Below are 22,607 nucleotides of genomic sequence, written 5' to 3' on the forward strand. Positions count from 1 at the left end.
CTAGTCAACATGGTTGTATGCTTTTCTCTGACTACCTTTAGTTATGCAAATTCAGGCATGATTGAGCCAAACAGTTGGATTTAAGTAGTATTAACTTATTATTATTATTATTATTATTATTATTATTATTATTATTATTAGGCCTGGCAGTTACAACATAAAGTTGAGGGACAACGGAATCAACTGCTTTGTATGAAAGAAAGTGGTGAGAATGACTTTTATTTAAGCTGAATAAGGAGGAAAGTGATGGCACAAGGGGTGTGAAGGATAGTGAAAAGTGCTTGGATCAATGGATTGTAGGCCAGAGGATGGAAGTTAAAGGATTGTTGGAGTTGGGGCACAAGAGGAAATGAAAAAAAAGATATAAGGTAGTGATTAGAGACAATGGGGTGCTTGAAATTAAGATTATAGAAGGGTTATAGCTTTTGGTACTAGGGTATGACTATGGAAGTGAAAGGCTGAAAGGCTAAAGGATTAAAAAAAGTAGAGGCTACAGCATCATTGGAGGAGAGGAGGTCAAGGATCAGAAAAGCTGGGCTAATGGAAAGATCATCTGCATGGAAAGAATTATGGAGTGGTGTCGAAGAATGTAAGAGCCAACCAGAAGCTAAACTCTTCAAGGAATAGGAAGTGGTGCCCTGAGGATAACAGATGACTGCAACAGGAAGAGTAGTGGTGGTACAATCTTGTAACATGAGATTCAAGGTTAAAATTGCTCATCTTATGGTCATGCATGACCTTCTAGTTACCAAAAATGGATCTGAAGTTTTATACAGAATTTGTCATCACTTCCACTTTCATGAAAAAAATTTTTTTTTTTTTGAGATGTTATGACCCTGGGATCTGTTGGTTTTCCTACCTCTCTATCAGTTCCTGCCCCCACCTCACCCCCTCTTTTTTGTCATCTCTTGGATTCTGCTTCTCAGTGGTAATTGCCTGGAGCTCCCTACATGTCCTCTCTTTTCACAGTTCACACACTTCCTGGGTGATCTCACTAATCTCATGGCTTCAACTTCCACCCAAATGCATGTGGCTTCCAAATCTGTGTCTCCATCCCCAACTATGCTCCATTGCTTCAGTCCTGTGTTTCTGACTGCCTACCAAGTTGCCCTTGGATGATTTTCAGGCAGCTTAAATTCATTCAAGACTGAATTAGTTATCTTCCTCTCCAAACTTCCTTCTTCATTTTTGAATTTCAGTCTACCACTAAGACACTTTTAACTCATCATAGTCCCTCTTCCTCATCTCCTATATGCAGTCAAGTCACCAATGCCTGTGGATTATATTTCTGAAAGATGAATTCTATTTCTGAAATGCTAACACTGATTAAATCCAGCTCTGCCTCCTTCAAAGCTATTTCTGCCCAACAAAAAGCTGAGGAACAAAAACAGAGGCATTGTCCTAGCTTTATAAGTCTAGGAAATATAGTTTAATAGATGTTCTATTTCTTTTTTTTTTTAATTATTAGTATACTTTAAGCTCTAGGGTACATGTGCACAACGTGCAGGTTTGTTACATATGTATACATGTGCCATGCTGGTGTGCTGCACCCATTAACTCGTTATTTAGCATTAGGTATATCTCCCAATGCTATCCCTCCCCCCTCCCCCCACCCCACAACAGTCCCCAGAGTGTGATGTTCCCCTTCCTGTGTCCATGTGTTCTCATTGTTCAATTCCCACCTTTGAGTGAGAATATGCGGTGTTTGGTTTTTTGTTCTTGTGACAGTTTACTGAGAATGATGATTTCCAATTTCATCCATGTCCCTACAAAGGACATGAACTCATCATTTTTTATGGCTGGATAGTATTCCATGGTGTATATGTGCCACATTTTCTTAATCCAGTCCATCATTGTTGGACATTTCAGTTGGTTCCAAGTCTTTGCTATTGTGAATAGTGCCGCAATAAACATACATGTGCATGTGTCTTTATAGCAGCATGAATTATAGTCCTTTGGGTATATACCCAGTAATGGGATGGCTGGGTCAAATGGTATTTCTAGTTCTAGATCCCTGAGGAATTGCCGCACTGACTTCCACAATGGCTGAACTAGTTTACAGCCCCACCAACAGTGTAAAAGTGTTCCTATTTCTCCACATCCTCTCCAGCACCTGTTGTTTCCTGACTTTTTAATGATTGCCATTCTAACTGGTGTGAGATGGTATCTCATTGTGGTTTTGATTTTCATTTCTCTGATGGCCAGTGATGATGAGCATTTTTTCATGTGTTTTTTGGCTGCATAAATGTCTTCTTTTGAGAAGTGTCTGTTCATGTCCTTCACCCACTTTTTGATGGGGTTGTTTGTTTTTTTCTTGTAAATTTGTTTGAGTTCATTGTAGATTCTGGATATTAGCCCTTTGTCAGGTGAGTAGGTTGCGAAAATTTTCTCCCATTTTGTGGGTTGCCTGTTCACTCTGATGGTAGTTTCTTTTGCTGTGCAGAAGCTCTTTAGTTTAATTAGATCCCATTTGTCAATTTTGGCTTTTGTTGCCATTGCTTTTGGTGTTTTATACATGAAGTCCTTGCCCATGCCTATGTTGTGAATGGTAATGCCTAGGTTTTCTTCTAGGGTTTTTATGGTTTTAGGTCTAACATTTAAGTCTTTAATCCATCTTGAATTAATTTTTGTATAAGGTGTAAGGAAGTGATCCAGTTTCAGCTTTCTACATATGGCTAGCCAGTTTTCCCAGCACCATTTATTAAATAGGGAATCCTTTCCCCATTGCTTGTTTTTCTCAGGTTTGTCAAAGATCAGATAGTTGTAGATATGCGGCGTTATTTCTGAGGGCTCTGTTCTGTTCCATTGATTTATATCTCTGTTTTGCTACCAGTACCATGCTGTTTTGGTTACTGTAGCCTTGTAGTATAGTTTGAAGTCAGGTAGCGTGATGCCTCCAGCTTTGTTCTTTTGGCTTAGGATTGACTTGGTGATGCGGGCTCTTTTTTGGTTCCATATGAACTTTAAAGTAGTTTTTTCCAATTCTGTGAAGAAAGTCATTGGTAGCTTGATGGGGATGGCATTGAATCTATAAATTACCTTGGGCAGTATGGCCATTTTCACGATATTGATTCTTCCTACCCATGAGCATGGAATGTTCTTCCATTTCTTTCTATCCTCTTTTATTTCATTGAGCAGTGGTTTGTAGTTCTCCTTGAAGAGGTCCTTCATGTCCCTTGTAAGTTGTATTCCTAAGTATTTTATTCTCTTTGAAGCAATTGTGAATGGGAGTTCACTCATGATTTGGCTCTCTGTTTGTCTGTTATTGGTGTATAAGAATGCTTGTGATTTCTGTACATTGATTTTGTATCCTGAGACTTTGCCGAAGTTGCTTATCAGCTTAAGGAGATTTTGGGCTGAGACAATGGGGTTTTCTAGATATAGAATCATGTCATCTGCAAACGAACAATTTGACTTCCTCTTTTCCTAATTGAATACCCTTTATTTCCTTCTCCTGCCTAATTGCCCTGGCCAGAACTTCCAACACTATGTTGAATAGGAGTGGTGAGAGAGGGCATCCCTGTCTTGTGCCAGTTTTCAAAGGGAATGCTTCCAGTTTTTTTCCCATTCAGTATGATACTGGCTGTGGGTTTGTCATAGATAGCTCTTATTATTTTGAGATACGTCTCATCAATACCTAATTTATTGAGAGTTTTTAGCACTAAGCGTTGTTGAATTTTGTCAAAGGCCTTTTCTGCATCTATTGAGATAATCATGTGATTTTTGTCTTTGGTTCTGTTTATATGCTGGATTACATTTATTGATTTGCGTATATTGAACCTGCCTTGCATCCCAGGGATGAAGCCCACTTGATCATGGTGGATAAGCTTTTTGATGTGCTACTGGATTCAGTTTGCCAGTATTTTATTGAGGATTTTTGCATCAATGTTCATCAAGGATATTGGTCTAAAATTCTCTTTTTTGGTTGTGTCTCTGCCTGGCTTTGGTATCAGGATGACGCTGGCCTCATAAAATGAGTTAGGGAGGATTTCCTCTTTTTGTATTGATTGGAATAGTTTCAGAAGGAATGGTACCAGTTCCTCCTTGTACCTCTGGTAGAATTTGGCTGTGAATCCATCTGGTCCTGGACTCTTTTTCATTGGTAAGCTATTGATTATTGCCACAATTTCAGATCCTGTTATTGTTCTATTCAGAGATTCAACTTCTTCCTGGTTTAGTCTTGGGAGAGTGTATGTGTCGAGGAATTTATCCATTTCTTCTAGATTTTCTAGTTTATTTGCGTAGAGGTGTTTGTAGTATCTCTGATGGTAGTTTGTATTTCTGTGGGATCAGTGGTGATATCCCCTTTATCATTTTTTGTTGCATCTATTTGATTCTTCTCTCTTTTCTTCTTTATTAGTCTTGCTAGAGGTATATCAATTTTGTTGATCCTTTCAAAAAACCAGCTCCTGGATTCATTAATTTTTTGAAGGGTTTTTTGTGTCTCTATTTCCTTCAGTTCTGCTCTGACTTTAGTTATTTCTTGCCTTCTGCTAGCTTTTGAATGTGTTTGCTCTTGCTTTTCTAGTTCTTTTAATTGTGATGTTAGGGTGTCAATTTTGGATCTTTCCTGCTTTCTCTTGTGGGCATTTAGTGCTATAAATTTCCCTCTACACACTGCGTTGAATGTGTTGCAGAGATTCTGGTATGTTGTGTTTTTGTTCTCGTTGGTTTCAAAGAACATCTTTATTTCTGCCTTCATTTCGTTATGTACTCAGTAGTCATTCAGGAGGAGGTTGTTCAGTTTCCATGTAATTGAGTGGTTTTGAGTGAGTTTCTTAATCCTGAGTTCTAGTTTGATTGCACTGTTGTCTGAGAGACAGTTTGTTATAATTTCTATTCTTTTACATTTGCTGAGGAGAGCTTTACTTCCAACTATGTGGCCGATTTTGGAATAGGTGTGGTGTGGTGCTGAAAAAAATGTATATTGTGTTGATTTGCAGTGGAGAGTTCTGTAGATGTCTATTAGGTCTGCTTGGTGCAGAGCTGAGTTCAATTCCTGGGTATCCTTGTTAACTTTCTGTCTCGTTGATCTGTCTAATGTTGACAGTGGGGTGTTAAAGTCTCCCATTATTATTGTGTGGGAGTCTAAGTCTCTTTATAGGTCACTCAGGACTTCCTTTATGAATCTGGGTGCTCCTGTATTGGGTGCATATATATTTAGGATAGTTAGCTCTTCTTGTTGAATTGATCCCTTTACCATTTTGTAATGTCCTTCTTTGTCTCTTTTGATCTTTGTTGGTTTAAAGTCTGTTTTATCTGAGACTACGATTGCAACCCCTGCCTTTTTTTGTTTTCTATTTGCTTGGTAGATCTTCCTCCATCCCTTTTTTTGAGACTATGTGTGTCTGTGCACGTGAGATGCGTTTCCTGAATACAGCACACTGATGGCTCTTGACTCTTTATCCAATTTGCCAGTCTGTGTCTTTTAATTGGAGCATTTAGCCCATTTACATTTAGGGTTAGTATTGTTATGTGTGAATTTGATCCTGTCATTATGATGCTAGCTGGTTATTTTGCTCGTTAGTTGATGCAGTTTCTTCCTAGCATCGAGGGTCTTTACAATTTGGCATGTTTTTGCAGTGGCTGGTACCGGTTGTTCCTTTCCATGTTTAGTGCTTCCTTCAGGAGCTCTTTTAGGGCAGGCCTGTTGGTGACAAAATTTCTCAGCATTTGCTTGTCTGTAAAGTATTTTATTTCTCCTTCACTTATGAAGCTTAGTTTGGCTGGATATGAAATTCTGGGTTGTAATTCTTTTCTTTAAGAATGTTGAATATTGGTCTCCACTCTCTCTGGCTTGTAGAGTTTCTGCCGAGAGATCAGCTGTTAGTCTGATGGGCTTCCCTTTGTGGGTAACCCGACCTTTCTCTTTGGCTGCCCTTAACATTTTTTCCTTCATTTCAACTTTGGTGAATCTGACAATTACGTGTCTTGGAGTTGCTTTTCTTGAGGAGTATCTTTGTGGCATTCTCTGTATTTCCTGAATTTGAATGTTAGCCTCCCTTACTAGGTTGGGGAAGTTCTCCTGGATAATATCCTGCAGAGCCTTTTCCAACTTGGTTCCATTCTCCCCATCACTTTCAGGTACACCAATGAGACGTAGATTTGGTCTTTTCACATAGTCCCATATTTCTTGGAGGCTTTGTTCATTTCTTTCTATTCTTTTTTCTCTAAACTTCTCTTCTTGCTTCATTTTATTCATTTCATCTTCCATCGCTGACACCCTTTCTTCCAGTTGATCGCATCGGCTACTGAGGCTTGTGCATTCGTTACATAGTTCTCGTGCCATGGTTTTCAGCTCCATCAGGTCCTTTAAGGACTTCTCTGCATTGGTTATTCTAGTTAGCCATTCGACTAATTTTTTTCAAGGTTTTTAACTTCTTTGCCATTGGTTCGAACTTCCTCCTTTAGCTTGGAGGAGTTTGATTTTCTGAAGCCTTCTTCTCTCCACTCATCAAAGTCATTCTCCATCCAGCTTTGTTCCATTGCTGGTGAGGAGCTGTGTTCCTTTGGATGAGGAGAGGCACTCTGATTTTTAGAGTTTCCAGTTTTTCTGCTCTGTTTTTTCCCCATCTTTGTGGTTTTATCTACCTTTGGTCTTTGATGATGGTGATGTACAGATGGGTTTTTGGTGTGGATGTCCTTTCTGTTTGTTAGTTTTCCTTCTAACAGTCAGGACCCTCAGCTGCAGGTCTGTTGGAGTTTGCTGGAGGTCCACTCCAGACCCTGTTTTCCTGGGTATCAGCAGTGGTGGCTGCAGAACAGCAGATATTGGTGAACCGCAATTGCTGCTGCTTGATTGTTCCTCTGAAAGTTTTGTGTTAGAGGAGTACCCAGCCGTGTGAGGTGTCAGTCTGCCCCTACTGGGGGAGTGCCTCCCAGTTAGGCTACTCAGGGGTCAGGGACCCACTTGAGGAGGCAGTCTGCCTGTTTTCAGATCACACGCTGCATGCTGGGAGAACCACTATTCTCTTCAAAGCTGTCAGACAGGGACATTTAAGTCTGCAGAGGTTACTGCTGCCTTTTGTTTGTCTGTGCCATGCCCCCAGAGGTGGAGCCTACAGAGGCAGGCAGGCCTTTTTGAGCTGTGGTGGGCTCCACCCAGTTCGAGCTTCCTGGCTGCTTTGTTTACTTACTCAAGCCTCGGCAATGGTGGGCACACCTCCCCCAGCCTTACTGCCACCTTGCAGTTTGATCTCAGACTGCTGTGATAGCAATGAGTGAGGCTCTGTGGGCGTAGGACCGTCCAAACCATGTGTGGGATATAATCTCCTGGTGTGCGGTTTGTTAAGCCCGTTGGAAAAGTGCAGTATTAGGGTGGGAGTGACCCGATTTTCCAGGTGCCGTCTGTCACCCCTTTCTTTGACTAGGAAAGGGAATTCCCTGACCCCTTGTACTTCCTGGGTGAGGCCATGCCTCGCCCTGCTTTGGCTCATGCACGGTGCGCTGCACCCACTGTCCTGCACCCACTGTCCAGCACTACCCAGTGAGATGAACCCGGTACCTCAGTTGGAAATGCAGAAATCACCTGTCTTCTGCATTGCTCACGCTGTGAGCTGTAGACTGGAGCTGTTCCTATTCGGCCATCTTGGCTGCCCCTCTATTTCCTCCTGTGTCTTAAATTGCCATGAATTCACCTTGTGTTTTAAGTTGCCATGAATTCACCTTGTGTTTTGGATTGTTGTTGGATCCTGAGAGGGATGTTCTACTTTCCTTGGGTCATTAGAAGTCAAAGGGAGAATGAAAAACAGAATTTAAGGTGATTACGAGACATCCAGGAAAATATCCAGTCAGCAGAACCTAGGGAAACAAATCTAATTATGGGACATAAATAATAAGAGAAACCAAGCTAAGGAGAGGTAAGGAGGAGACAGAAAGACAAAAGTAGGATGAGGTGACTTAATGGGCATTAAAAGGAGGGAAACCTCAAGGGTGATGGGGGGATTGTGTAATGTCAAATGCTGCAGAGAGCACCAGAATGCAGAGAAAAGATCCCTGCCTCTAGAGGTTGGTATCCTTCAAGAATGCAGCTTCAGAAGAGTGGGCTAGGGGTGAGGAAGCAAAAGCTTTGGATGTGGCCATTCTAGTCGTCTGGTAGTAAAAGGTCAGTGATGATGTCCCCTTCCTTTCTTCCCACAGAGAGTGCTTTTAGATGGCCTCTGGGAAGGGGAAATTCAGGGGGTCAGACTTGCTCCCTCCCCATTTGAGAAGTCACTTCTTAGTCCATTCTTTTCATCAACTTGAAACTCAGGGTGAAATGTCTATCCAGTGACCTTGGACAGGGTAGCCTTCTCTCTGTTCTGCATCTAGCTGTGGCCCTGCTTCCTCATATCAAAGTATACACTGAACCCTGAGGGAGGCTAAATGATGAAAGCTTCAAGTAAGTGTCCTAAAGCTACACGGGGTTCAGGTGTTGGCTTGAGGGTGGGATGGGGTGTGGACAAGTGAGATCAGACATTGTTATTTTGGGACTAGTTAATGTGCTCTTTTGACCAACATGATGTGGGGCAAAGCTTCATGGTGTAGGTAAGAGGTTGGAAACTTAACTATTTTCAGTACTAGGTAGGTATCTTAAGTGAGTGAAGCAGGCAGGGCAGGCCAGGAGTGAAATGTGAAGTGCAAGCCCCATTTAGAATAGAACAGAGGCTACTCAGCACCAGCTAATTGTTGCCTCATAGGGATGTGGTCCCAGTATCCATAAGGCACAGAAGTAGGAAGGAGAGTCTAGATTATTCTAGGAGCTGAATAAAGAACAGTGTGGCTGGAATGCTGTGAAAGAAGGAGTAGAGATGTGAGTAGGGGTCTTGTAGGCCTTGTCAACACTTTGTGACCTCCTAGTGGGAATGACTGGGGGCTGGCAGAGTGGGAAGAGTATTTCTATTCCCTTTTATTACCTTTCCAGGATAGCCAATCACAGCCATCTTACCTTATTCAAAGTAGTTTAATGGGGCTACCATTTCCTTAATTCTACAATAAAAATATTAAAGAACAAGCTTACCTCCTGGGCAAAGAAAGTTTGTTTTTTGGTAGGAATTTTATAAGCATTGCATGTTTTCTTCCCTGCTTGCAAAATGCATGATTCATCTTTTAGGAATGGGGCATCTGGGTCTTAATGTATTTAACTTTAGAACAATAGATTAGGTTTTTGTTGATTAAATCCATTTGTTTCCCACAAGAAAACAAAAATGATTAGTTATATGGTGAGTACTGGGTAGTTTTCAGTTTTGTAAAGGAGATCTGTTCAAGAGTGTCCCATAACAATGATACCATTTACTGATATGAAAAAGCATAGTAGAAGAAAAGGCTTGATAAGAGAAATCAAGAGGTTTGATTTTTTTTTTTTGACAGAGTCTCACTCTGTTGCCCAGGCTGGAGTGCAGTGGCATGATCTTGGCTCACTGCAACCTCCGCCTCCTGGTTTCAAGTGATTCTCCTGCCTCAGCCTCCTGAGTACCTGGGATTACAGGCACCCAACATCACACCCGGCTAATTTTTGTATTTTTAGTAGAGACCGGGTTTCACCATGTTGGCCAGACTGGTCTCGAACTCCTGACTTCAAGTGAGCCACCTGCCTCGGCCTCCCAAAGTGCTGGGATTACAGGCATGAGCCACCACATCTGCCCAAGAGTTTTTATTTTTTAAAAAACTTTGATATATCTACCAGATATGCAAATGGTGATGCCAAGTAGGCAGTTAATGAGGTAAGCCAGGAGGTCAGGACTAAAGATGTGTTTGGGAACCATTAGCTTATAAAGGCTATTAAGGCAATAGGAATGGCTGACATCAGATAAGAAGAGTACTTAGATGGAGAAGTGAATGGGACCCACATGTGAGCCTTAGCTTCAGTCTTTACTGGTCCTGTGGAGGAGGCAGTGGATCTGCAAAGAGCCTGAGAAGCAGCTAGGAAGGAAGGAGTAAAACTCGGGGAATGTAGTGTCACAGAAGCCAAGAGAAGAGAGTGTGGTATTTATGATAAAAAGGGAGAAGGTTGAAGAGATTGAAAGAAATATAACATCAGGAATTCTATGTTTTAGTAGCTGGTCTATAAAGACAAGTGAGCTTAGCTTTCTTATGAGTTCTTTTCTTACTCACCTCTTAGATGTCTATAGATACGCCCTTAGTTTTTGTTTTGTTTGTGATCCTCCCCAGTGCAGTCCAGATTCAGGGTAGATTCTGGTAGATTTCTGACTAGATGGATTAGTTGTGCCTTCCATGACATATCCCCTAATTTTCTTGCTGGTTTTGGGCACCCTAGATGTTGCAAATATTTTTCTATCTGCACTGACTTTACAGATTATTCCTTTTCCCTCTCTGAAGAACCTTGGAATTCTTCAAAGTTTCCACACACACAAAAAAAGCTTTATATATATATATATATATATATATATATATATTTTTTTTTTTTTTTTTTTTTTTTTTTTTTTGGGTCCCCTTGAAAGGAAAGCACTCTCTTACCTGCCCAGTGAGATTTCCTGAGCTTCAGGTCATGTTGCACGAACATGGCAGTAACCCTCTTTTTACTCTTTTCTTTGAAGTCTCCATGAACCCAGAACCTATTCCTTGGAAACTCTTCCTTCTTCTTGATTAAGCTTCCCTATCTTGTCCTACTCCACTGACTAATACTGTAATTGATGGCTGGTATTTGAGATTAATTAACTTTGATGAGCTTTGTTTTTTTCTATTCTTTTCAGCCATTATTTCAGTTTTTCCCCATTCCAACTCTCCAACCCCTTCCCTTTGAATCCTGTGGTCTTGAGAGCTGATCTCTGTCACGTCTTGTTGTGCTGAAGGTTTGTGAGATGATTCTGTGTAATTCAGTAATAATTAATTTTTACTATTATTAATTTATACTAATTGTATCAGTAATTATACCAACAATGCTGACTGACATTTATTGAGCTCCTTTATGTGGCTGAGAGCTATGCTAAGGACTCCAGGTGTATTGTCTTATTTCATTTTCACAAAACCCCATTACATATTCATTTATTTATTAAAAAATTTTTTTGAACACTTGCTATATGCTAGATACTGTGTTAGGTGCTAGGGTTACGGTGATAAACAAAACAGTTATTGTCTCTGTTTCTGAAGAGCTTAGGGTATAGTGGGAGAAATAGATGTTAAAAAAGTAAAAATAAATATTTAATGATATGATAAATGACATAGAAGGTGTAACAGAATAATAAGATCTATTTCATTTTATTTTATTTATTTATTTTTTGAGACAGAGTCTCACTCTGTCACCCAGACTGGAATACATTGGCATGATTTTGGCTCACTGGAACCTCCACCTCCTGGGTTCAAGCGATTCTCCTGCCTCAGTCTCTCAAGTAGCTGGGATTTTAGGGGTGCACCACCACGCCTGGCTAATTTTTTTGTATTTTTAGTAAAGACGGGGTTTCACCAAGTTGGCCAGGCTGGTCTTGAACTCCTGACCTCAAGTGATCTCCCCCCTTGGCCTCCCAAAGTACAGGGATTACAGGTGTGAGCCACCATGCCCAGCCTAGAAGATTCATTTTAGAAAGAGTGGTCTGGGAAGGTTTCTCTTAGGAGGTGACATATTTAAAATTAAACCTAAAGAATAGGAGGACCCCAGCAGGCAGAGGAAGGGCCTGCAGGAAGATGTAAATAATTAACATAAAGAACTTTTCCTTTAATAGAGGAGCTGAAAGAAGATCAGGGAGGCTACATAGAGAGTGTCAGAAGGGTAATGCTAGCTGAGGCTGGAGGTGGGCCAGACCATCCAGGGCCATGGAAACTGGATTTCTTTCTGAGTGCATTGGGAAACCTGCAGGGTTTTAAGCAGGAAACTGAAGGATCCAATTTATATTAAAAACATTACTCTGGCCATCTTGTGGAGAGTGGGTTGGAGAGGGACAAGAACAAAAGTGAGGACAACTGTTCTGATCTTAAGGTAGGATTCAGGTTAGAGGTGGTGATGGTTGGATACAGGATGGTGGTCAAGGAGTTGGAGGAGAAGTGGAAGGTCCAAGAAATATTTCTGAGGTAGAGTCCAAAGGGCCTGGTGACAAAGACACTGGAGTCAGGGATGACTTAGATTCTTGGCTCAAACAATGGAGCTGATGTAATACCATCCTCTTCCTTTTTCAGTCTGGGAGACTAAGGCTCCAAAAGGTTAGGCAGTATGTCCCAGGAGATGTGTCTAATAAACATTGTACAAGTTGAGCATCCCAAATCCAAAAATCCAATATCCAAAATGCTCCAAAATCTGAGATTTTGAGCACTGCATCGACATCAATGAAACTCAAGGGAAATGCTTATTGGAGCATTTTGAATTTTGGATTTTTGGATTTGGATACTCAACCGCTAAATATAATGCAAATATTCCAAAATCTGAAAAAAAATTGAAATCTGAAACATTTCTAATCCCAAGCATTTCAGACAAGGGATGCTCAACTTGTATCAGGATGGGCCCATCCAACTCCAGAGACTACACATGTAACCAACACACTGCATTATTTCTCAATAAGTCAATCCTGCTGCTTTCTAAAAGGAGAGAAGTGGTTGTCTTCTGGATCATAAACTCTCTGTCAACCATAATTCCATTTGCTTAGTTATCAAAGAGAGAGTCAATGTGCTGGTGTGTTATCTTTAGCATGTTTTGGCCTGAAGTGGATTGGAAAATATTATTTGAACCACATGCTGGAAATGATGTTATCCTTAGGTGTTTGACTCAGGTAGGCAGGTTTAAGTCCGAAGGACTGGAGGTGATCATCCTATCCTAGATATTCAAATTCTGTTGCCAGGAACAACAGGAACCAAGCTTCCTGTTCTTTGTTCTGTCTCATGGGATCAGAAGACGTGTCATTCCCGAATTCCTCTGAGGCCTTTCAGCAACTTACACGACATTGTCAAGGGCAGTTGCCCTGGAAAAAGTGGGTTTACTCTGTGGGAAAAAGAGGAAGATGAGGTAGGTTAATTGGAACTGGAACCTCAGCCCACCCCTCATAACTACAGAGAGAGGACTGGAGACTACAGAGAGGCAGATAATAGAGATATTGATAGCATAGGGCAGGATTAAATTTAAAAACATGTAATTGAAAACTCAGTTATGCATGGTGATCCTAATACAAAATAACTTCTTGATTATGTTTTGGTGATGTCCTGAGACTTTCCGCATGCTGCTGCTGTTTGTGCATCTGTAAAATGACCCTTTTATTTTTACTTTATTTGAAAAATCATAGGTCTGTGGAGAGAGGTAAGAATATAAAAACATGGAGCAATCGTGGGCTTACCTCTTTGGAATGATTAATTGTGGAGTAAATTGTGATAGTATCATTTTCTCTAGGTGTCCAGATTTCTGTTTCCTGTAAAAAGAATCATACCAATTTGGCTTACACAGAGACAAAGAGATTAATGCATAGATATATTCTTAGGAAAGACTGTGTGACAAAAAAGAGAATATGTCAAAGTTCTTCCAGAGGAAGGCTGGGGAATGTTCAGTGGAAGACCAAGCACGACTAGCTATCAAACTTGTGAGGATTTAGTGGCATTTCCTGAGCCCCAAACAGAACAGCAACACTGCAGCAAACCAATGGGCTCAAGAGCCAGAGAAAGGCAGCCTTGCTGTATGAAGGGAAGGAAGTATTCTTGTCCTTTGTCCAGCTCTACTTTCCTTCCTCCATTTTTAAGAAAAAACTTATATACCAGATAGTTTATTATATGTTTTGTCTCAAATTTTTACTAGCTATGACTGAAACTACCCATTTTGCCTGCTCCATCTTTTGCTATAATTCTAACTGCCTTGTCATCATGTCATTGGGGTCTTCTCAAGCATGGGGAATTGGTAGAATAGGAACACTTGGCCTTAAGAATGGCTCTGCCTGGAATGCACATTACAGAAATAATAGCAGAAGTCCCTACGGCCCTCAAAGAACCTACTCAAAGATTTTGACACTTTAAATTAATGAAGAAGTATTTAGAGAATTATCAAGATCTCTACTGGGCACAGTGGCTCATGCCTGTAAACCCAACACTTTGGGAGGACGAGGCAGGCGGATCACTTGAGCGCAGAAGTTTGAGACCAGCCTGGGCAACATGGTGAAACCCCGTCTCTACAAAAAGTAGAAAAATTATCCTGATGTGATGGTGCTCGCCTGTAGTCGCAGCTACTTGGGAGGCCAAGGTAAAAGGATCACCTGAGCATGAGGAGGTTGAGGCTGCAGTGAGCTGTGATTGTGCTACTGCACTCAGCCCTTGGTGACAGAGTGACACTCTGTCTCAAAAAAAAAAAAAAACCAAAAAACAAAAAACAAACCAACAAAAAACAAAAAAACCTCAAACTCTCCAAAGCACATTTTTTTTTTCTTTTTGCTAAAGAGAAAGCTAACCAATTTGTGGGAAATTAGTTTTTTGATTTGTCAGAGTGTGAGTTGACTTGTTTTCAGGAGGAATTTGCAAAGGCAAAAGAAATGTCTGAGCAAGTGAGAGTACCCCTTCTTGCTTCCTGTCATCAAGGATCATACTTTGCAAATATAGGTGAAGGGAATCCAAGATTTCTAGCTAGATCATTGCTTACATCATTTTGAAAATGCTAAGCTTTCCTGGCTTATTTTTCAGAAAACTGGCCTCTCAAAATGTATGGTATTATTTAGAGATGTGCCACCTGCAGGTCCTTTATTTAGGGGTGGTGGGGAGTTGCTGATACATGACAGATGAGTTGCTGATGCTTGACCAGCCATCCTGTTATGCTGCTAGATGAGAGGGGAGGGGTGAACCATTGCTCATGGTTTAGTGGCCTCTACTGTGCCCCCTTCCCCTCTTGAGAGACTACTTCTGAACTCCCCTAAGACCCCTACATGCAGAGTGAGAAGTCAGCCACCTGCTATGGAACTACGTCCATAGGAAACTTTCAAACTTAGTGGAACTCTGACCCATTCAGCAAGTATTTACTGATCATTATGCTAGGATATAGGGCAAGAGAGAGGAAGACATAATTTGTACTTTCAGTCAGCTTGTAATTAAGCTGAAGGGACAAGACTTACTGATGCATCAAGCGGTTGGAGAACTGTGTAAGGCAGGGTATGAATAAACATTCCCTTAAGGGTGAGAAAGGCAGACACCAGAGTGGTCTAGCGCATAACTTTGCAGCCCCTGTCGCTGTGGCTGTCTTCTCCTCCCCTCAGTGGTCATTTGTTCAGTCAGATGGTTATGGTGACAAGTTTGTGAACAATGGCTGTAAAACTGACAACAATGGCATATAAAGCTGAAAAGACTCACCCTGTTTGAATGAGTGACTGAAGCATACACAGTGTTGTTCGTTGGAGACACTGAAACATACTCTAGGTTCCTTGCGGACTCTGCTGTTAACATAGGAAGGCACAGTCAATGGCACAAGGACTCTGGGACTTCTCTCCCAGGACTTCTCCCTCCCCAGAGCACACTGTGTCCCCAGATAGGCAGGTGTTTGAAGCATCTCCTTTCCTGAGGGATCATTCGTTCTTGACAGTCTTTGGAGCTCTGGGTGAACCTTCTCAGTCATGTGGTCTATTTCTGACCACATCTCTTGGGGTAGAAGGTGGTGTTGAGGTCCCCTAAAGCTTCAGAGTCTCCCTCAGGCTTCACATGTGGGTCAGGAAGCTCCTGGGACCAAATAGCCCTGCCTATGGAAGGGCTAAAGACACCTCATTGGCAAACATAATGGAGCCAGTTATTTCACATTTGGGATATTATTAAGCTTTTCAGAGGTCTCTACAGCGGATTTGATTATTTTGGAGATGAGGAACTGGAGGCTCAGAAAACTTAACTGACTTGTGCAAAGCCATACAGACAGTGATGAAACAGCAACTCAAATGCACGTCTTCTGACTTCAAACCTTATGCCTTTTCCTCTGCAAGTGATGTCATGCATCACTCATGCATGAAATGAGACCCAAAGCCAATCTGAGTCCAGAGCCTGTGTTTGTGTTTCTATATCATGTTTTCTCTTTCCACTGTGTCTATCCATTGCCCAGACCCTGGCTGAACAGTAATGATGCAGTCAGACAGTTTGGTTTTGTGCCTTGGATGCTCTAATCCTGCCTGTGCCCTGGACTTGCTGGGTGACAAGGGATGATCCCTTTCACTGGGACTTAGTTTCTCCATCAGCAGGGTGGTGAATGAACCTGATATCACCAAGAGAAACTGTGTGAGTGACTGGTTCACATGCCTATGCCTGTGAACCATGTAGGACCCATGATTACAGATCATCTCCCCTCACAGCATGTGGTCTGAGTAATGACATTCTGACTCCTTCCTCTGTCATTATCCAGCCCTCTGCCATCCCCCTCTCTCTTCCATTTGGCTCTTCCCATCTGCTTTATGATGGAGAGTTAAGAGTCTGAATGCTCACCGGGGCCCTGTGTTCGCTGAGTAGACAAAGATAGGGAATCTGAAAAATAAAACCAGAAAATTGAAATGTGTGACAGCAGTGGGAGAGGCATTTCACCCCTAACCCCGTGAGTGTTGGGATGTGGTGGGAGGGGACCCAAAAGGAAGGGCAAGCAGCCCTGAGACAGGGTCCCACTTTTCCCAGTAGGACATTTCTCTCAGGATATTAGCAGGTGCAAGATCACACCCAGGGATTATCTCAGTGGACTAGCTGAGCCAGGGTTTGCAGCCTCCCTCCCTCCTCCTGTCTTCCACAAGAGATCCTTGGGAATCAGAGGCCCCAAACTCTCAATCACTGGAACCTTGGAGAAGAGACAAGTAGGAAGAAAGGAAACCTGCCTCTTCTTTTCCTCAAAACAAGTAACAGCAGTATGATGAAACCGAAGACTATGCATATCCCAGAAACCATAAACAGAATCATTTTGGTATCTGTATATTGAATTTTAACATCTGAAAAGAGAAAAAAGAAATGACATTTGAGACACATCAAGTGAGGCCCACTGTTCTTGGAGCCTCCGTGGAGCCTCTTCTAGGCCATCTTTGGGGACTAGGTAAGTTTGTCTATAGCCGGAGGCTCTGGGGTGGGAGTCCTATGTGGCAGGCAGGGGAGGGTGGGGCCCAGTGGAGTTAGGGAGAGAAAGCAATCCTACATTCCCAGGCCTTTGATTTTGGGTTCTGAGTAGGTTGGACGAGGGGTTGGGGAATGGAGAGGAAGGAAGGAGAGTCCTCTGGGAGTACTGAGAGATGCAGAGCTCCAGAGGGCATCTGTCCCCTCCCAGCAGCATTTTCTGCCTCCCACTGGGCCACTGTATTGGAAATTACGTAGGATGTGAGGACGCGTTAAACCCCATAGCTGCTCAAGGCTCTCAGACCTGAGGCAGGCTGTTACCTTCGCAAAGCTTCTGGGCAGAGACAGAGAAGGATAAATTACTGACAGCATTCTCTGCTATGCAGGTGTAGTCCTGTTCACTGGAAATCCTGGGGTCCCAGGAGACAGTGAGGTTTGGCTGACTTGAAAGTGTGTTTCCCAAGGCCTCCCATCTGAATGAGACATTGTCATCTGCATCCTCCACAGAGCAAGTCAGATGGAGCTCACAGGTCATATTCTGAAATAGCTGACTGTGATTGGTAACTTGTATGTTCCTCAGTTGTCCTGTTTGCAGAAAAAAAAAAGATCCAGATTAAGGACAAATGTCTTGGCTCAACCCCCTGTGAAAAATATCCTTCACCTCAATGTTTTGTATTTCACCTTTGCTGTGTGTTATGGTCTGTAGACTCTGTAAATGACTCTGCTTATATTGCCTAATTGATGGTAGCAAGGTCTGGGATGACCAAATGATGCGGGACATCAGTATGGGGCAGGATAGTCAGCAGAAGAAGTGGGAAGGGAGAGACTGAGGTTTCCATCAACTAGCTGGGTAGTTTTGGGGTGGTTATTTTATATTTCTGGTCTCCAGTTTATCCCTGGGTTCCCTTCTAGTCCTTGCACTCTGCCCCTGTGTAAAGACAATTTGGAGACCAAGCCAAGAACTCTGAGGGCAACTCAGTGATGTGAGAAGCCAAGAGACCAGGTGGAAGAGTCCTGTTTCCTCTGCTATCAGAATTACCTAATTGGGGTGGAAGATGGAAGCATCACTTCCTTGGGGAATTTGAATCTATGGGGATCCTGGTTCCTATTGTATCTAAAGCTGGCTCCAATAGTGAGAAAGAGACTCAGATGTAGAAGGTCAGCAAGACAGAAAGGAAAATGCTGAGAACCAAAGAAGTGGGGAAGGAAGAAGTGAATAAGGTGAGAAAGCAAGCAAGCAATTCTGGGGAGCAAAGAAGTGCGGCGTATCTAGGCATGTGAGATGACATGTGATGTAGGTATTTCTGAGAGCAAAGACCAGGAAATATTGCCTAGTAAGATGTAACTGTGAACCAATGGGAACATGGGAGCAAGACAGAAAAGGCCACTGACTTAGCCTTGGCCTGAGGTTTGAAGTAAAGATGACCCAACCAGGAAGAGAATGACTCCAATTCTCTGATTAGAAGAGACCGAGTAGTACTTTGAGCTTAGTTGAGTAGGAGTTGTGGAGTATCTGTACTGAAATATTGCCAGAACAGAGTATTCATGTATGGGAAAAGTGTTGGATTTGGAGTCAAGACCTGAATTTTGTAATTTACTGGCTACATGACCACGGACAAATTATTGCTATATCCAAGCCTCAGTTTCCTTATCTGTAAGACCAGGTAATAATACCCACTTCTCAGGTAATTTTGAGGAATAAATGAGACAGTGCCTAGTACAGGGATGGCAAATATTTGGCATGAAAATCACATCTCCCTCATCCAGTGTTGATGGCTGAACTGAAAAAAAAATCCATCTTGTTACCTTTTTCCACTTAATGAATATGTAAGGACATTTCCACAGGTATATAAGTGTGTAAGTATATCTCAAACTTGGTATAGTCTAAAGGACTCCCGTTTTTCTCTCCCAAACCTTCTCAACCTGCAGTTTTACCCATCTGACTTGTTGACAACTGCATCCTTCCTATCACTGAGGCCAAAACCTCTGGAGTTATCGCTGATTCATATCTTCATCTCATACTCCCACATCAGGAAATCCTGGTGGCTTTACCTTCAACATATGTCCAAAATGTAACCACTTCTCACCATCTCCACTGCTATCACCCTGATCCAAGCTAGCATCAACTCTTGTTTGGACTATTGCAATGGTCTCCTAATTGGCCCATTGGCTTCTACCCTTCCCCCTTGAACTCTACTCTCAACAGATCAGCCAAAGGAATCCTTTAGACAAGTAAGTCAAATCATATTACTTGTTTGCAAAACCTTCTGATGGTTTTCAGTGTCACTGAGAGTAGATGCCAAAGTCTTTGTGATGGCTCTCAGTCCTTTTGCGATGTGGCCCCTGTTTCCTTTCTGGCCTCATTTTCTATTACCTTCCCCTTACTCTGCTCCTGGACGTTTGGCCTCCTTGGTGTTTCTTGAGTAGTCTAGGCACAGGGGATCTTGCTATCTATGCGGATGGCGTGTCTTCCAGTTATCTGCGTGGCACACTTCCTCACTTCCAACAGGTCTTGGCTCAAATGTCATCTTTTCAATGAAGCCTGTTCTGATCACTTCTTTTAAAATTGTCCCCTGCTCCCTGGCACTCTTGATGCTTCTTATGCTGTTCTAATCTCTCCTTTGTTCATACCATTCAGGGCTTTCTTACATGCTGTATCACTTGTTTATATGTTATGTGAATTGCTTGTTACCTTCCTCTACTTCCCTTCCAGAATGTCTGCTCCATGAGGACAGTGATCTTTGTCTGTTTTGCTCACTGATGTATTCCAGGTGCCTATAACAGTGCCTTGGACGTTATCCATGTCTAACAAATATTGTTGACTCAATTAATAAACCTATCATGGCTTCAAGATTTTCTTAACACTGAACTCTAGGCAGTTGTATTAGTTTGTTTTCACGATACTATAAAGATACTACTCAAGACTAGGTACTTTATAAATGAAAGAGGTTTAATTGACTCACAGTTCTACATGGCTGGGGAGGCCTCAGGAAACTTACAATCATGACGGAAGGGCAAGGGGAAGCAAGTCACGTCTTGCATGGCAGCAGGAGAGAGAGAGAAAGGGCAAGGAAGTGCCACGCTTAATACCATCAGCTTTCATGAGAGCTCACTATCATGAGAACAGCATGGGGGAAACCTCCCACATGATCAAATCACCACCCACCAGGTCCCTCCCTTGACATGTAGGGATTACAATTCGAGATGAGATTTGGGTGGGGACACAGAGCCAAACCATGTTAGCAGTCACTCCCAATTAATTGGTATTGGCCCATAAAATCAAATCTTTGCCATTCATATCCTGGCACATACCAAGAGATTGATCAATGTTAAAAATCAAACCTATATAACTTATACCTTGAAATTCCTTTGCACTATTGTAAAACTACCTGGTGTAGCTTACACAGTTCTCTGTGTATGTGACTTTGAAGGAGATGGCACTCTAAAAAGCCCTGAAAGAGATCAGCATTGAGCCTCAAGAGGGTGGCTGTCACAAGATAAGTCATACCTGGTCTTCTCAACAATGTTAGAGGAACATTATCTCAGCAAATGTGATGAAGCCTGGTACCCATTTCAGGCTTTCCATTGGATGAGTCTCTCTTCTCTCCAGTGTCCTACACTGCCTTGATAATTACTGGTCACCCAGGGTGATTCTGCCTGTAGTGGGTTGAATAATGACCTCAGAAAAGATCTGTCTGCGCCCTAATTCCCAGAATCTGAATATTACCTTATTGGAAAAAAAGGGTCTTTGCAGATGGAATTATGTTATATGACATTATCCAGTATAACCTGGATAGTCCCCAAACCCAATGACAAATGTTCCCATAAGAGAAAAGCAAAAGGATGTTTGAGACAGACAGAAAAGAAGGAGGCAACCTGACTATGGAGGTAGAGATTGGTGTGATGCAGCCACAAGCCAAAGAAAACCAAGGAGTGTTGACAGCAACCAGAAGCTGGGAGAGGCAAAGAGCAGATTGCCCGCTACAGCCTCCAGAGGGAGCACAGCCCTGCCCACACTGTGATTTTGGACTTCTGGCCTCCAGAACTGTGAGAGAATATGAATTTCTGTTACGCCACCTACTTTATGGTATTTCTATTTCAGCAGCCTCAGGAAAGTAATACATTGCCCCAGGGTGATTTTTCCTTTTTAGTTAGAATCGCTTGTATAGAAGTTTTCCAGACATCACCTCTTTCCCATTACATTTACCTGTTTGGTGTTCTATTCTTCAAGAACATGATTTTGACTAATCTAACACGATAAACCTACCAGATATTCAGGGGATACTAAAAGTTAACATGTAATCTGTCTGTGGAGACCTTTTATTTTAACAGTGCTTTTTTGAGTACCATGTCTTAACCCAAAGGACTCTGAGTGAATTTTAGACACTACAGGCCCTCAAGTGGATAAAAATTACAGAATTTCCGTGGCCTTTAATGTTTTCTGGTCTGATTGCCAATTTAATGCTTGAATCTCCTGCTAAGTGATTATTCTAAAGCCATTAATGGCATCTCTGAATATCACTGATTGCTAGAGAGGTATTTTTCTGATATTGACTCATAAGAAATCTCATTATAGTTTCCATAATTTTATGTTGATAACATTTTCATTCTTTTTAATCTTGGGAAGGCAGATTGTTGACTGGTGATTAATATGAGCCATCGGGGGAAAATATTGTTAAAAATTAAATAACCTTGACAGAAAGGATGTTTCTCATTATCAGCCTATCTTTGCAGATAACTTTCTAGGTAGACCACTGTTCTGTACACTGACCACTCTACTGGGTCAGACTAGCCTTTGTGAAAAGGGAGGTGTCGTGGCAGGTAGTTATGTGGGAAGTGCTACCATTACTATCTCTGTGACTTGTAGGCAAATCACTGTGACTGAGGCTGTGCCTCAAGGGTATAAGGTCTGTACCTACCTCATGGAGTCTTTGTGAGAATTACATGGCAAATACATGTAGTGCACAAGGCAACACTATCATAAATATTTGACTTCCATTACTTCTGCTACATTTCTGGTTGAAGAAGACCATTTTATCGGAGTGAAGTAATTCTGGGCTGGGACACAAGACTTAGGCTCTGTCTTCAGCTCTGTCATTAACTGGCTTTGCAGTGTCATTGTGTTGACACTGACTCAATGACTCCAAATGCCATATTCTTTACCACTAGGCGACAGTGCACATTTGAAGTCACATAGGATTGGAATACATGTATATTTTTCAGTCCATATGGAATTAAACCCCATATTTTGACTTACTTAATATCCTCAGAGTGTAACTGGACAGCTTTGCAGAGGTCTTTGTGGATATCTGGGCTCTGTAAGAGCCTGTGTCTTCCATCTTCAGGTTGCTGAGTTGCAGGGAGTAGGACTGGGTGAAGTTCAGTCGCTTTCCCTGTTTCGGATTAGTCACGTGGATTTCTGGACTTTTGGTTTCATGGGGTACTATGAAGGCAAGAGATGTTTCATTGAAAAGCCAAGTGATGAAGTTGACCTTCTCTCCTGCAGGAAACTCCAGGGGAAGAGTTACTGACTCCCCCAGAATCCCGTTCACCATCAATGGGGTTAAGCTGCTTTGTGAAACTACATTCCCTGTAAACACAGAAGGAAAGGTTTTAAAAATGTTCCTGACCATCTCCCTGCCAAGTCCTGCACC

General features: G+C 42.0%; 1 protein-coding gene across 6 annotated transcripts in view, besides 4 other annotated features; it reads right to left on the bottom strand.

Moving 5' to 3' along the window:
* Positions 395–584: an enhancer, noted in NCBI's record as "active region_1926". NCBI's record gives its function as "activates an Ori minimal core promoter by ATAC-STARR-seq in GM12878 lymphoblastoid cells {active_cell/tissue: GM12878}" and the evidence as "EXISTENCE:reporter gene assay evidence [ECO:0000049][PMID:35858748]".
* The window catches only part of SLAMF6 (SLAM family member 6), a 38,220-nt gene continuing 26,798 nt past the window's right edge, over positions 11,186–22,607 (bottom strand). For 2 of the 6 annotated variants that reach the window (NM_001184714.2, XM_047443866.1), the window contains exons 2-8: positions 22,211–22,543; positions 17,275–17,538; positions 16,725–16,835; positions 16,348–16,386; positions 15,238–15,320; positions 13,254–13,325; positions 11,186–12,904 (exon numbers count right to left, since the gene is read on the bottom strand). In NM_001184714.2, the coding sequence (NP_001171643.1) occupies positions 12,857–12,904; positions 13,254–13,325; positions 15,238–15,320; positions 16,348–16,386; positions 16,725–16,835; positions 17,275–17,538; positions 22,211–22,543 (950 nt within the window). In that variant the 3' untranslated portion in view covers positions 11,186–12,856. The remainder of the gene's footprint in view (positions 12,905–13,253; positions 13,326–15,237; positions 15,321–16,347; positions 16,387–16,724; positions 16,836–17,274; positions 17,539–22,210; positions 22,544–22,607) is intronic. The other 4 variants (NM_001184715.2, XM_017000216.2, NM_052931.5 and 1 more) reach the window with 4 other exon arrangements.
* Positions 15,490–15,619: an enhancer, noted in NCBI's record as "active region_1927". NCBI's record gives its function as "activates an Ori minimal core promoter by ATAC-STARR-seq in GM12878 lymphoblastoid cells {active_cell/tissue: GM12878}" and the evidence as "EXISTENCE:reporter gene assay evidence [ECO:0000049][PMID:35858748]".
* Positions 15,730–15,789: an enhancer, noted in NCBI's record as "active region_1928". NCBI's record gives its function as "activates an Ori minimal core promoter by ATAC-STARR-seq in GM12878 lymphoblastoid cells {active_cell/tissue: GM12878}" and the evidence as "EXISTENCE:reporter gene assay evidence [ECO:0000049][PMID:35858748]".
* Positions 16,528–17,727: an enhancer, noted in NCBI's record as "BRD4-independent group 4 enhancer chr1:160460168-160461367 (GRCh37/hg19 assembly coordinates)". NCBI's record gives its function as "activates an origin of replication core promoter dependent on BRD2, P300/CBP, MED14 and CDK7 cofactors, and independent of BRD4, by STARR-seq in HCT116 cells {active_cell/tissue: HCT116}" and the evidence as "EXISTENCE:reporter gene assay evidence [ECO:0000049][PMID:35650434]".

Source organism: Homo sapiens, chromosome 1 (genome assembly GCF_000001405.40).
Source record: "Homo sapiens chromosome 1, GRCh38.p14 Primary Assembly".
In the NCBI taxonomy this organism is placed as follows: Eukaryota; Metazoa; Chordata; class Mammalia; order Primates; family Hominidae; genus Homo; species Homo sapiens.